Raw genomic sequence first — 14772 nt, 5'->3', positions numbered from 1 at the left:
TTTTTTTCTGAAGTAAAATATTTTTTACTGATTATAATGTGAATACATAATTAGGCAGAAAATTAAAGCAATAGAAGAAATAATAAGAGTAAAATTTTCTCCAAATCGAAGCAGGCCATTGTAAACAGTTAAACTAAACACCTTTTTAATTTAAACTTTTGAGGTAATTGTAGATTTATATGCAGTTCTTAGAAATTACAGGGAAATATCCCTTGTTCCTTTACCCAGTTTTCCCCAATAGTAACATCTTGTAAAACTATATATTAATATCATGACTAGACTATTGACTGGATATTTTGACATGTGTGTTGCTAGTACATAAATGCAATTTATTTTCATATATTTATGTGAACTTACATATTGACTCTAGAAGGTATCTTCTTGCAGATTTTTTGTTTTGTTTTTATGTAGATAATTATGCCATCTCCAAGTAAGAACAGTTTTATTTTTTCCTTTCTCATCTGTTCACAACAAAGTGCTAAATTAGATATAGATTTTTTAATGCCTTTATCATGTTGAGGAAGTTTCTCTCTATTCCTGTTTTTCTGAGAACTATTTATCATGGATGGGTGCTGACTTTTTCAAATGCTTTTTCTGCATCAATTGGCATAATTATGTGATTTTTCTTCTTTAACCTGTTGTGGTGAATATTGATTTACATTTGTGAATATTGAAATTACCTTGCGCTTATCCCTGAAATAGACTTGACTTGATCATTTGGTCATGGTGTTTGTGTGTGTGCATGTATATATTTATTTATTTACTGTATTAGTTCATTTTCATGCTGCTATAAGAACATAAACAAGACTGAGTAATTTATAAAGGAAAGAGGTTTAATTGACTCACCATTCCACATGCCTTGGGAGGCCTCAGCACACTTACAATCATGGTGGAAGAAGAAGCAAACACTTCCTTCTTCACCTGGTGGTGTAGCAGGACAAGACGCAGACAAAATCCCTCAGACACTGAGTTGTAGAAAGAAGGGCTTTATTCAGCTGGGAGCATCGGCAGACTCACATCTCCAAAAACTGAGCTCCCCGAGTGAGCAATTCCTGTCCCTTTTAAGGGCTTACAACTCTAAGGTGGTCCACGTGAGGGGGTCCACGTGAGAGGGTCGTGATCGATTGAGCAAGCAGGGGGTACGTGACTGGGGGCTGCATGCACTGGTAATTAGAACAGAACAGAAAAGGACAGGGATTTTTCACAGTGCTTTTCTATACAATGTCTGTACTCTATAGATAACATAACTGATTAGGTCAGGGGTCGATCTTTAACTACCAGGCCCAGGATGTGGCGTCGGGCTGCCTGCCTATGGATTTCATTTCTGCCTTTTAGTTTTTACTTCTTCTTTCTTTGGAGGCAGAAATTGGGCATAAGACAATATGAGGGGTGGTCTCCTCCCATAGTGGCAGGGAAGAGAAGTGCCAAGTGAAGTGGGGAAAGGCCCCTTATAAAACCATCAGTTCTTGTGCGAACTCACTCACTATCACATGAACAGCATGAGGGAACTGCTCCCAGGATTCAATTACCTCCCACTAGGTCCCTCCCATGATATGTGGGGATTATGGGAATTACAAATCAAGATGAGATTTCAGTGGGGACACAGAGCAAAACCATATCATTCCAACCCTGGTCCCTCCTAAATGTCATGTCCTTACAAACACAATCATGCCTTTTCAACAGTCCCCCAAAGTCTTAGCTCATTCCAGCATTAATCCCAAAGTTCAAGTCAAAAGTCTCATCTGAAACAAGGCAAGTCCCTTCTGCCTATGAGCCTGTAAATCTGAAAGCAAGTCAGTTACTTTTTAGATAAAATGGGGGTACAGGCATTGGGTAAATATGCCCATTCCAAATGGGAGAAGTTGGCCAAAACAAAGGGGCTATAGGCCCCATGAAAGTCCAAACTTCAACAGGGCATCACCAAATCTTACAGTTGCAAAATGATCTCTTTTGGCTCCATGTGTCACATCCAGGTCACACTGATGTAAGAGGTGGACTCCAACAGCCTTGGGAAGCTCAGCCCCTGTGGCTTCAAAGGGTACAGCCCCATTCCTGGCTGCTTAGCTGGCTGGCACTGAGTGTCTGTGGCCTTTACAGGTGGATCAGTGGACCTACCATTTTGGGGTCTGAAGGACAGTGGGCCTTCTCTCACAGCTCCAGTAGAGAGTTCCCCATTTGGGACTCTGTGTGTGGACTCCAACCCCACATTTACCTTCTGCACTGCCCTAGCAGAGGTTCTCCATGAGGGACCACCTTTGCAGCAAACTTCCGCCTGAACGTCCAGGCATTTCCATACATCCTCTGAAATCTAGGTGGAGGTTCCCAACCTCAATTCCTGACTTCTGTGTACCTGCAAGCTCAACACCACATGGAAGCTGCCAAGGCTTGGGGCTTGCACCCTCTGAATCCATGGCCTGAGCTGTACCATTTTTACTCACGTCCCTGTGAAGAGAACACCAAACAGGCTTTGTGTGAGCAACAAGGCTGTTTATTTCAGCCAGGTGCAGGTGGGCTGAGTCCAAAAAAGAGAGTCAGCGAAGGGAGATAGGGGTGGGGCCATTTTATAAGATTTGGGTAGGTAAAGGAAAATTACAGTCAAAGGGGGGTTGTTCTCTGGTGGTCAGGGGTGGGGGTCACAAGGTGCTTGGCGGGGGAGCTTTTGAGCCAGGTGAGCCAGGAGAAGGAATTTCACAAGGTAATGTCATCAGTTAAGGCAGGAACAGGCCATTTTCACTTCTCTTGTGGTGGAATCTCATCAGTTAAGGCAGGAACTGGCCATCTGGATGTGTATGTGCAGGTCACAGGGGATATGATGGCTTAGCTTGGGCTCAGAGGCCTGACATTCCTGTCTTCTTATATTAATAAGAAAAAAAAAAAACCGAAATAGTTGTAAAGTGTTGGGGCGGCGAAAATTTTTGGGGGTGGTATGGAGAGATAATGGGTGATGTTTCTCAGGACTGCTTCGAGCGGGATTGGGGCGGCATGGGAACCTGGAGTGGGAGAGATTAAGCTGAAGGAAGATTTTGTGGTAAGGGGTGATATTGTGGGGTTGTTAGAAGAAACATTTGTTGTGTAGAATTATTGGTGATGGCCTGGATATGGTTTTGTATGAATTGAAAACTAAATGGAATAAGAGAAGGAGAAAAACAGGTATTAAAGGACTAAGAATTGGGAGGACCCAGGACATCTAATTAGAGAGTGCCTAAGGAGGTTCAGCATAGCCTTGCCAGCAAAGATTATTTATTTACGTTAAGAGTTAAGAGTGGCAGTTTGGGGATAGCACCAGGAGATATCAGCTGTGATGGCTTGGAGAAACAGTGTAAACCGGCAGTGTAAACAAGAGCAGGGCATGCAGGAGTAGTTGAGAACAGTGAATAGGAGTATGACTAGAGAGAAGATAGTAGGGATGACAAGTTTTTTGGGGCACAGTCCAAGTTGGTCTGGTATCTGGAATGAGACTGGGGCCTAATAAAAAGGAGCATCCATACAGGAGCTTAAATGGGCTATAACCTGTAGCATTCCGAGGACAGGCCTGAATTCTGAGAAGGGCAAGTGGTAAAAGTATTGTACAGTCCTTTTTAAGTTGGTGGCTGAGATTGGTGAGGTGTGTTTCTAAAGGACCATTAGTCCATTCTACCTTTCCTGAAGATTGAGGATGGTAAGGGATGTAAAGGTTTCACTGAATACCAAGAGTCTGAAAAAATGCTTGGCTGATTTGACTAATAAACGCTGGTCTGTTATCAGACTGTGAAGAGGTGGGAAGCCCAAACTGAGGAATTATGTCTGACAGAAGGGAAGAAATGACCATGGTGGCCTTCTTAGACCCTGTGGGAAAGTCCTCTACCTATCCAGTGAAAATGTCTACCCAGGCCAAGAGGTATTTTAGTTTCCTGACTTGGGGCATGTTGAGTAAAGCTAATTTGCCAGTCCTGGGTGGGGGCAAATCTCCGAGCTTCATGTGTAGGGAAGGGAGGGGGCCAGAATAATCCCTGAGGAGTAGTAGAATAGCAGATGGAACACTGAGAAGTTATTTCCTTGAGGATAGATTTCCACGATGGAAATGAAATGAGAGGTTCTAAGAGGCGGGGTAGTGGCTTGTACTATAGCATAGCCTGCCTTTGCTGGTGTGTGGCGATTAGGCCTGGTGGGAACTGCCATCAATAAACTAAGTGTGATCAGGGTGAGGAACAAGAAAGAAGGAAATATGGGGAAATGGGGTGAATGTCAGGTGGATCAGAGAGATACAGTCGTGGGGGTCAGGTGTGGTATCTGGAATAATGTGGGAGGCTGGATTGAAGTCCGGGCCAGGAACAGTGGTGATTGTGGGAGACTCAACAAAGAGTGAGTACAGCTGAAGAAGCCAGGGAGCAGACAGTATATGTGTCAGGTGTGAGGAAGAAAATAGATTTTGGAAGTTATGAGAACTGTTGATCATAGTTCGTGATTTTAAGGGCCTCTAAAAGTATTAGGGCAGCGGCAGCTGCCGCACGCAGACTTGAGGGCTAGGCAAAACAGTAAGGTCAAGTTGTTGGGATAAAAAGGCTACAGGGTGTGGTCCCAGTTCTTGTGTAAGAATTCTGACTGCACAGTCCTGCACTTCAGCTGTGGGTAATGAAAAGGGTTCTGATGAGTCAGGGAGAGTTAGGGTGGGGGAAGTCTCTAAAGCTGTCTTCAAGGAACGGAAAGAGGAGTGGGGAAAGGATTTAGGATCTATGGGGTCAGATAGGTTTCTTTTTGTGAGTTTATATAATGGTTTTGTTAGGATGGCAAAACCAGGTGTCTAAAGTCGAAAGTATCTAACCATGCCTAGGAAGGAAAGGAGTTATTGTTTTGTAGAAGGTGTTGGGGTTTGAGAGATCAGTTGGACACAATCGGCAGGGAGAGCATGTGTGTTTTTATGAGAATTACGCCGAGATAAGTAACAGATGAGGAAGAAATTTGGGCTTGATTGAAAGAAATTTGGGCTTGATTGAAGTAATGGGGGCCGTCTGTGAAGCCTTGCGGCAGCACAGCCCAGGTAATTTGCTGAGCCTGATGGGTGTCAGGGTCAGTCCAAGTGAAAGCGAAGAGAGGCTGGGATGAAGGGTGCAAAGGAATAGTAAAGAAAGCATGTTTGAAATCCAGACAGAATAATGGGTTGTGGAGGGGGGCATTGAGGCTAGGAGAGTATATGGGTTTGGCACCACAGGGTGGATAGGCAAAACAATTTGGTTGATAAGGCGCAGATCCTGAACTAACCTGTAAGCCTTGTCTGGTTTTAGGACAGGTAAAATGGGGGAATTGTAAGGAGAGTTTATAGGCTTTAAAAGGCCATGCTGTAACAGGCAAGTGATAACAGGCTTTAATCCTTTTAAAGCATGCTGTGGGATGGGATATTGGCATTGAGGGGGGTAAGGGTGATTAGGTTTTAATGGGATGGTAAGGGGTGCATGACCAGTCACCAAGGAGGGAGTAGAGGTGTCCTATACTTGTGGGTTAAGGTGGGGGGATACGAGAGGAGGATGTGAAGGAGGCTTTGAAATGGGGAAAAGGGTGGCAATGAGGTGTTGCTGTAGTCCAGGAATAGTCAGGGAAACAGATAATTTAGTTAAAATGTCTTGGCCTAATAAGGGAACTGGGCAGGTGGGGATAACTTAAAAAAGAGTGTATAAAAGAATGTTGTCTAAGTGGGCACCAGAGTTGGGGAGTTTTAAGAGGTTTAGAAGCCTGGCCGTCAATACCCACAACAGTTATGGAGGCAAGGGAAACAGGCCCTTGAAAAGAAGTAATGTGGAGTGGGTAGCCTCCGTATTGATTAAGAAGGGGATGGACTTACCCTCCACTGTGAGAGTTACCCAGAGCATCTGTGATTGTCCTGTAGGCTTCCAAGGCGATTGGGCAGTGTCAGTCTTCAGCTGCTAAGCCGAGAAGATCTGGGAAGGAGTCACTCAGAGAGCCTTGGGCCAGAGTTCCAGGGGATCTGGAAGCGGCTGCCAGGTGAGTTGAAGAGTCCGATTTTCAGTGGGGTCCCGCACAGACAGGACACGGCTTAGGGGGAATCTCGGGCTGTGGGCATTCCTTGGCCCAGTGGCCAGATTTCCGGAGTAAACCTTGGCAGCTGCAGTTCAGGCGTTTGGAAGTTCTTGTGTGTGGAGATGTGGCTGGGGTTTCTTTCACAGTGGAGGCAAGGAATTGCAACTCAGAAATATATTGCTACTTGGCTTCCTCTACTCTATTATTGTACACCTTGAAGGCGAGGTTAATTATGTCTTGTTTGTGGGGTTTGAGGGCCGGAATTTAATTTTTGGAGTTTTATTTAATGTCAGGAGCGGATTTGGTAATAAAATGTATATTGAGAATAAGATGGCCTTTTGACCTTTTAGGGTCTAGGGCTATAAAGCATCTCAGGGTTGCTGCCGAATGAGCCATGAACTGGGCTGGGTTTTTCATATTTGATGAAAAAGAGCCTAAATGCTAACTGATTTTGGGAGAGGTCGGATAAAGAAAAAGGAGCATTAACCTCGACTATGCCTTTAGCTCCAGCCACCTTTTTTAAGAGGAAATTGCTGGACAGGTCGGGGAGGGCTAGTTGCTGAACGAAACTGTAAGCTGGACCGGGTGTGAGGAGGGGAGGTGATAAAAGGGTTACAGGGTGGGGGAGCAGAGGCTGAGGAAGAATTGGGACCTGGCTTGGCCTGGCGAGGAGCAGCCTGGGGAGGAGGGGAGAAGTCAGATGGGTCTGTAGAAAAGGAAGATTACAAATACTCAGCGACCCTTAGGGTTGGGACTGAGAGGACAGGCGGGAGGGAAAGAAGGAGGATTTGGGACTAGTCGCATTGGGAACAGAGACTAGGGAGGCACTGATGTGTAAAAGAATGCCTGGATGTCAGGCACCTCAGACCGTTTGCCCATTTTATGACAAGAATTATTTAGATCTTGTAGGATGGAAAAATCGAAAGCGCCTTTTTCTGGCTATTTGGAACCACTGTCGAGTTTGTATTGTGGTCAGATTGCATTGTAGAAGAAAATAAGGCATTTAGGTTTTAGGTCAGGTGTGAGTTGAAGAGGTTTTAAGTTCTTGAGAACACAGGCTAAGGGAGTAGAGGGAGGAATGGAGGGTGGAAGGTTGCCCATAGTGAAGGAGGCAAGTCCAGAGAAAAGAGAGAGTAGAGACACGGAGAGAAGGGGTCAGGGGGTTCTTGTCCCCCAGAAAAGCGGCATTTGCCGCTAAGGGTGAAGGACCAAGGCAGGCGTCCCCGCGTGGTCAGACACACCTGAAATGTGTGTGAATAATCAGGCAGGTATCCCCACGTGATTAAACACCAAGGGAAGGCTGCCTTCCCGAGTCTGTGACTGGCGCCGGAGTTTTGGGTTCATGGATAAAATGCATCTCCTGAGTTGTCTCTACCAGAAAAGGGAAGGAACTGAAATTAAGAGAAGGGAGAGATTGAAAGATGGTGCCAAGATTGAAAGGAGAAAGAGGTTGATGGATAGTGAGAGGTTGGAGAAGAGAGTAAAAAGAGGTCGCTTACCTGATTTAAAATTGGTGAGATGTTCCCTGGCCTGGTCGGTCTGAGGACCAGAGGTCGTAGGTGGATCTTTCTCACGGAGCAAAGAGCAGGACGGGGGATTGATCTCCCAAGGGAGGTCCCCCGATCCGAGTCACGGCACCAAAATTTCACTCGCATCCATGTGAAGAGACCACGAAACAGGCTTTGTGCGAGCAACAAGGCTGTTTATTTCACCTGGGGGCAGGTGGGCTGAGTCCGAAAAGAGAGCCAGCGAAGGGAGATAGGGGTGGGGCCATTTTATAAGATTTGGGTAGATAAAGGAAAATTACAGTCAAAGGGGGTTTGTTCTGTGGCGGGCAGGGGTTGGGGGGGGGGTCACAAGGTGCTCAGCGGGGGAGCTTTAAGCCAGGATGAGCCAAGAGAAGGAATTTCACAAGGTAATGTCATCAGTTAAGGCAGGAACAGGCCATTTTCACTTCTTTTGTGGTGGAATGTCATCAGTTAAGGCAGGAATCGCCCATCTGGATGTGTATGTGCAGGTCACAGGGGATATGATGGTTTAGCTTGGGCTCAGAGGCTGGACAACCATGACCCCTTTAAACCACAGTTGGAGCAGCTGGGATGTGAGGCACAAAGTCTCAAGGTTGCAAACAGTAGGGGTGTCCCTGAACCCAGCCCATGAAACCAGTTTCTCCTCCTAGGCTTCCTGGCATGTGATGGGAGGGGCTGTGGAGAAGGTGCCTGACATTCCCTGGAGACATTTTCCCCATTGTCTTGGTGATTAGCATTTGGCTCCTCATTACTTATGCAAATTTCTGCAGCTGGCTTGAATTTCTCCCCAGAAAATGGGTTTTTCTTTTCTACTGCATCATTATCTGAGTGCAAATTTTTCAAACTTTGATGATCTGTCGCCTCTTGAATGCTTTGTTGCTTAGAAATTTCTTCCACCAGATACCCTAAATCATCTCTCACGTTCAAAATTCCACAGATCTCTAGGGCAGGGGGGAAATGCTGCCAGTCTGTTTGCTAAAGCATGGCAAGAGTCACCTTTGCTCCAGTTCCCAAGAAGTTCCTCAGCTCCATCTTAGACCACCTCAGCCTGGACTTCATTGTCTATGTCACTCTCAGCATTTTGGTCAGAGCAATTCCACAAGTCTCTAGGAAGTTCCAAACTTTCCTGCATCTTCCTATCTTCTCGGCCTTCCAAGTCTCTAGGAAGTTCCAAACTTTCCCACATTTCCCCTAAATGAGCCCTCTAACCTGTCCCAAACTCTACCTTGTAAGGTCAGTTGAGAGAAAGGAAGAATAGACCCGAAGTCAGATGAGTAAGTTTATTGAACCTGCTGGCTGCTCCACCACAGACAGCAGGCAGTCCTGAGCTGTTTATAAACCTGAGGGGTTTATATGGGGGAGACAGACCCTGGGGTCATTTGTTGGTTAACTTTGCCATATATCACCTTGTGACGTTTGTGGTAGCAGCCAGATGAAGGAACTTATAGGAGGGTATAGGTAAAGTTTGTTTATGCTTCCCAGGACCTTCCCCTGTGCAGTCTAGATGGCTTGTAATTGGGGTTTGTTTATTGCAGCAAGGCCTGGTAGGTAAAGTCTGCTGGCCTCACAGCGGTGCCTAGATAAGTGCTTAGAAATGTAAAGGGCTGGGGGGGAAGGGTGGGCAGAGTTGCAGAGCATAAGGGGGAGGAGTAGGCAGCACGGAGAGGTTTGGGGGAAGTGTTGGCAGTACCAAGAAGTTTTTTGGGGTGGTTTGTCCCTAACATACCTGTTACTTAGTTCCAAAGTTGCTTCCACGTTTTCGGGTATCCTTATAGCGTGTGTGTGTGTGTGTGTGTGTGTGTGTCTGTGTGTGTATGGAGAGAGAGAGCTGAATTATTTTGTAGTTTTGCATCCATATTCATAGGGATATTTGTTCATAGTTTCATTTTTTGTACTATATCTAGTTTTGGTGTCAAGTTAATACTTGCTTTATAATGTAGATTGGTAAGTGTTCTCTTCAGTTTTCTGGAAAACATTTTTCTCTTTGTTAAGGTACACATTTAGTGCTTCAATTTTCTTCTCAGCATGAGCTTAACTGTTTCCCACATAACCGAATATGTTATATTTTAATTTTCATTTTATTCTGCTCAAAGTATTTTTTATTTCCTTGGAGAATTCCTCTTTGACCCATGAATTATTTACAAGCATTTTGTTTAGTTTTCATGTGGTTGGAGATTTTCCCCTTTATATTTTTGCTATGAATATCTAAGTTAATTCCATCGTAATAAAGAATATATTCTGTGTGATTTCAATTCTTTAAATGTTTTGCTATTTGTTTTGTGGCTGAAGGTGGTCTATCATGGTGTTTCATGGGCACTTAAAAATATATATATTCTGCTGTTGGTGTTTATTAGTGTTGATTATCACTTATTGATTGATAATACTGTTGTCTTCTTTTGTATCTTTGCTGATTTTCTGACTAGTTGTTTTATCAATTTTGAGAGAGCTATATTGAAGTTTTCAACCATAATTGTGGATTTGTCTATTTTTCTTCATTTATATCAGTTTGATTAACATATTTTGCAGCTCTGATTAGTGCATACATATTTATGGTTGCTATGTCTTCTACTTGTATTGACCCTTTTATTGGTACATAATACTGACCCAGTGTTCCATAGACAGTTTTTAAAATAAATATAAAAATTGTCGGGCTGGGCAAGGTGGATCATGCCTGTAATCCCAGAACTCTGGGAGGCTGAGGCGGGCGGATCACGAGATCAGGAATTCAAAACCAGCCTGACCAACATCAAACCCCGTCTCTACTAAAAATACAAAAAATTAACTGGGCATGGTGGTGCATGCCTATAATCCCAGCTACTCAGGAGGCTGAGGCAGGAGAATTGCTTGAACCCCAGAGGCGGAGGTTGCAGTGAGCGGAGATGGCGCCACTGCACTCCAGCCTGGGCAATAAGAGTGAGACTGTGTCTCAAGAAAAAAAAAAAAATTGTCCCTTCTGGTCTTAAAGCTTGTAACTTGCATTTGCTTTATTCTGAGTTTCTTCCTTAGGAAAAAGACCTTCAATCCTCTTGAAAAGTATCAAAGAACTGAAACTCACCAAATCACTGCATCCAGACAATGAGATGCCAGATCCTACATTCATCATGATTGCTTCCTTTCCCCTCCCTAGTTCCTGTTTTATTATACATCATTACATTTCTTCCTTGCTATATAAACCCCTAATTTTAGTTGGTCAGGGAGATGGATTTGAGACTGACCTCCCATCTCCTTAGCTGCAACATCTGATTAAAGCCTTCTTCCTTGGCAATAATCATTGTTTCAGTGATTGGCTCTCTGTATGGTGAGCAGCAAGACCTAGACCAAACCCCTGGTGTTTTGGTAACAATATCTGTTTCTCCCATTTTTTTTTGGTTATGAAGCCTACTTTATCTGATATTAATATACTCATTAATGCTTTCTTTCATTAGTGTTTTTCTGATGTACTTCCACAGTATACATTTTACTCTTTTTATTTTTTATTAGCTGCCTATCATGTTATGTTTAAAATGAATTTCCTATAGACAGCACACAATTGTGTAATTGTTTTTTTAAATCTATCTACAAATTCCTGTCTTTCAGTTATTATATTTAAACCATTTTTATTTAATGTAGGTATTAATTTGGTAGAACTTAAATTTACCATTTTTAAAATTTAGTCTTGTTTTCTATTTGTTCTCTCTGATTTGCATTTTTCTATTTTCTTTTTTCTGACTTCCTGTGGATTACTTGAGCATTTTTAAAATTCCATTTTGTCTTATGGAAAGTCTTTGGAACATCATTTTAAGAATTTCTATGTAAAAACTGCATACATGGCCAGGTACTCACATTCATGCACATGCTTTGATATGAACAGCATTCAAAGCTATAACATATTTTTCTCATTTAACAATTAAAGACTCTTCCCCATCAATCAATGTTAATATTTATCTTGCTTTTCAAACTTTTAATATTCATTGCTTGAGTGTAGCTTAACTTAGTCAAGTGAAATCTCAGTTATTAATATCTAGGGAGTTCCAAATGTGTGTTATTATAAACAATACTGGATAAAAAAAATCCTCGTGTTGGTTTCTTTGACATTTTGAGTTTTATTACTTTTTGCCAATGTTTCGCAAAAAATTCATTTACTTTATTTTATTTATAATTGTGGTTAACTATTTTTTGTCTGATCATTGGCTATTTTTATTTTTTTAATTTTTGAATTACGTGTTTATTTTATGCACCATTTTCCCATATGTAACTTTGTTTAAAGTTTTTAAGTTAAAGTTATTAATAATTGTTATGTTTCATCATATTAAAATTTACAAAAATGACACAGTCACTATAAAACTTCAAAGACATAAAGCATTTAAAATAACATGGAAAGTTCTCATACAACTCTGTTCACTCCCCTCAAAATATTCTCAAAGTCCCCTGCCATTAAAGTGGTGTGTATTTTCAATGCCTAGAAGCATACATATGGGTGAATACCAAATATAATTCAGAAATATGTTAAAGATGGGTTCAACTATTAAAATAATTTTCAAGTTATAGTAATTTAAAAGATATAGCAATCACACAATAAAAAGAGACAAATAGAAAAAATAAACTCTAGAAATATATTCAAACACATTGAAATTTAGCGTATAATATAAATGGCATTTCAAATCAGTAGGGAAACAGGATCAATTTCATAGATGGTATCAAGTAATTGGCTATTGTTTGCTTCTTACTCCAAATCATAATGTAGCTATGCTTTGCTTCTTACTCCAAAATAAAATGAATATAAGGATATGTGGGAAGGTAAAAATGTATCTATAAAATAACTAAATTGCTGAGGTAGGGAATGCCTGTCAAGAAGCTGTATAAATTTCCAAAATTAATAGACACAAGACTGAATTTGTGTCTGGAAAATGGCAGATAGGATGTAGAACTAACTTGCAGCTCCCACTTGGATGGACAGAGCTGCATGTGGAGACCTATATCATGAAATTTTGTTCCAAGAACTACTGGGGGAACATACCAGGAAAGTCGAGAGAATCCGCAGACCCTTTGAAGGAGGTGGATTGCCGCTGCAGGCTTTATGCTACAGCAGAGGAACTGTGAGTCTGCTTGCCTTCTCAGCTGAGAGGCTTGAAGCCTGGGGCAAATTCTCAACCCTGCTCACTGGCTGCCTGGAAATAAACACAGTGCTGTTGTGGGGACAAGGTGGGAATGAGACTGGCCATTCAGGCTGTGGGCTGCATGGGAGTGGAGTGAGGACTGTGACAGCCGGCTTCCTTCCCCTTCCCTAGTGACCTAGGTAAAGCAGGAGATACAGCCATAATTCTCCTGGGAACATAACTCCACTGGCCTGGGAACTACACCCCTATCCCCTGCAGCAGCCATAGCAAGCCCTGCCCAAGCAGAGTGTGAGCTCAGACACCCTAACCCTGCCCCCACCTGATGGTCCTTACCCACTCTGGTAGCCAAAGACAAAGGACATAATCTCTTGGGAAATATATGACCCCACCTAAAGTCTGATCCTCCCTATACAACTGCAGCTAACAGGCTCTTGAAAGTGCCATCTCCTGGCTGGAGACCAACCAACACAAGATTAGCACACTTAACAAAAACAACCAAGGACCCTTATATAGTCCATCTCATTCCCCTGCTACCTCCACCAGAGCAGGTGCTAGTATCCACAGCTGAGAGACCTGAAGACAGATCACATCACAGGACTCTTTGCAGACACTCCCCAGTACCAGCCCAGAGCCTGGTAGCTCTGCTGGGTAGCTAGAACCAGATTTGGCTCTCAGGAAGCTTTATCCCTAGGGGAAGGGGGAAAGCACCACATCAAGGGAGCATGCTGTGGGACAAAAGAATCTGAACAGCAGCCCTTGAGTCCCAGATCTTCTCTTTGACATAGTCTACCCAAATGAGAAGGAAAAACAGCAACAACAACAAATTCTGGTAATATGACAAAACATCTTAAACACTCCCAAAAGATCACACTAGCTCACCAGCAATAGATCCAAACCAAGATGAAATCTCTGAATTGCCAGAAAAAACAAATCAGAAGGTGGATTATTAAGCTAATCAAGGAGGCACAAGAGACAGATGAAGTCCAACTTAAATAAATAAATAAAAAAAAATGATACAGGATATGAAAGGAAAAAATCTTCAGTGAAATAGCAAAAATAAAAAATAATGACGAATTCTGGTAATCAAGGACACACTTAGAGAAACAGAAAATGCACTGGAAAGTCTCAGCAATAGAATCAAATAGGTAGAAGAGGTAGAAGAAAGAACTTCAGAGCTCAAAGACAAGGCATTTGAATTAACCTAATCTGACAAAGACAAAAAATATATAAAAAAATGAACAAAGCCTCCAAGAAATTTGGGATTATGTTAAAAGGCCAAATCTAACAGTAATTAGTGTTCCCAAAAAAGAAGAGAAATCTAGAAGTTTGGAATATTTGAGGAAATAATCAAGAAAAACTTCCCTGGCCTTGCTAGAGATCTAGACATTCAAATGCAAGAAGCTCAAAGAACACCTGGGAAATTCATCACAAAAAGATCATTGCCTAGGCACATAGTAATCAGGTTATCTAAAGTCAAGACAAAGGAGAGAATCTTAAGAGTTGTTGGGCAAAAGTATCAGGTAACCTATAAAGGAAAACCTATCAGATTAACAGCGGATTTCTCAGCAAAAACCCTACAAGCTAGAAGGGATTGGGGTCCTATCTTTAGCCTCCTTAAACAATACAATTATCAGCAAATAATTTTATATCCAGTGAAACTAAGATTCATAAATGAAGAATAGTCTTTTTTGAACAAACAAATCCTGAGAGAATTCACCACTACCAAACCAGCGATATAAGAACTGCTAAAAGGATCTCTAAATCTTGAAACAAATCCCCAAAATATACCAAAATAGGATTTCCATAAAGCATGTATCTCACAGGACCTATAAAACAATAACACAATGCAAAAAAAGCAAGATATTCAGGCAACAAATAGCATGATGAATAGAATGGTACCTCACATCTCAATACTAACATTGAATGTAAATGATCTAAATGCTCCACTTAAAAGATACAGAATGGCAGAATGAATAAGAATTCACCAACCAAGTATCTGCCATCTTCAAGAGACTCACCTGACACATAAGGACTCAAATAAACTTAAGATAAAGGGGTGGAAAAGAATATTCCATGCAAATGGACACCAAAAGTGAGCAGGAGTAGCTATTCTTATATCAGACAAAACAAATTTT

At 42.2% G+C, this 14772-nt stretch overlaps 1 long non-coding RNA gene across 1 annotated transcript in view, besides 1 other annotated feature; it reads left to right on the top strand.

Moving 5' to 3' along the window:
- Positions 1-5976, top strand: part of LINC01090 (long intergenic non-protein coding RNA 1090) — a 252096-nt gene extending 246120 nt beyond the window's left edge. Inside the window, exon 3 of the long non-coding RNA NR_126396.1 lies at positions 5861-5976. This is a non-coding gene — a long non-coding RNA (long intergenic non-protein coding RNA 1090). The remainder of the gene's footprint in view (positions 1-5860) is intronic.
- Positions 7469-8446: an enhancer, noted in NCBI's record as "OCT4-NANOG-H3K27ac-H3K4me1 hESC enhancer chr2:188897853-188898830 (GRCh37/hg19 assembly coordinates)". NCBI's record gives its function as "activates a minimal SCP1, AML or CMV promoter by ChIP-STARR-seq in naive and primed H9 embryonic stem cells {active_cell/tissue: H9 hESC(naive and primed)}" and the evidence as "EXISTENCE:reporter gene assay evidence [ECO:0000049][PMID:30033119]".

The sequence above is a fragment of the Homo sapiens genome, chromosome 2 (assembly GCF_000001405.40).
Source record: "Homo sapiens chromosome 2, GRCh38.p14 Primary Assembly".
Taxonomy (NCBI): Eukaryota; Metazoa; Chordata; class Mammalia; order Primates; family Hominidae; genus Homo; species Homo sapiens.
The sequence above is the reverse complement of the archived record's forward strand: the minus strand, read 5'-3'. Positions and strand labels throughout refer to the sequence as shown.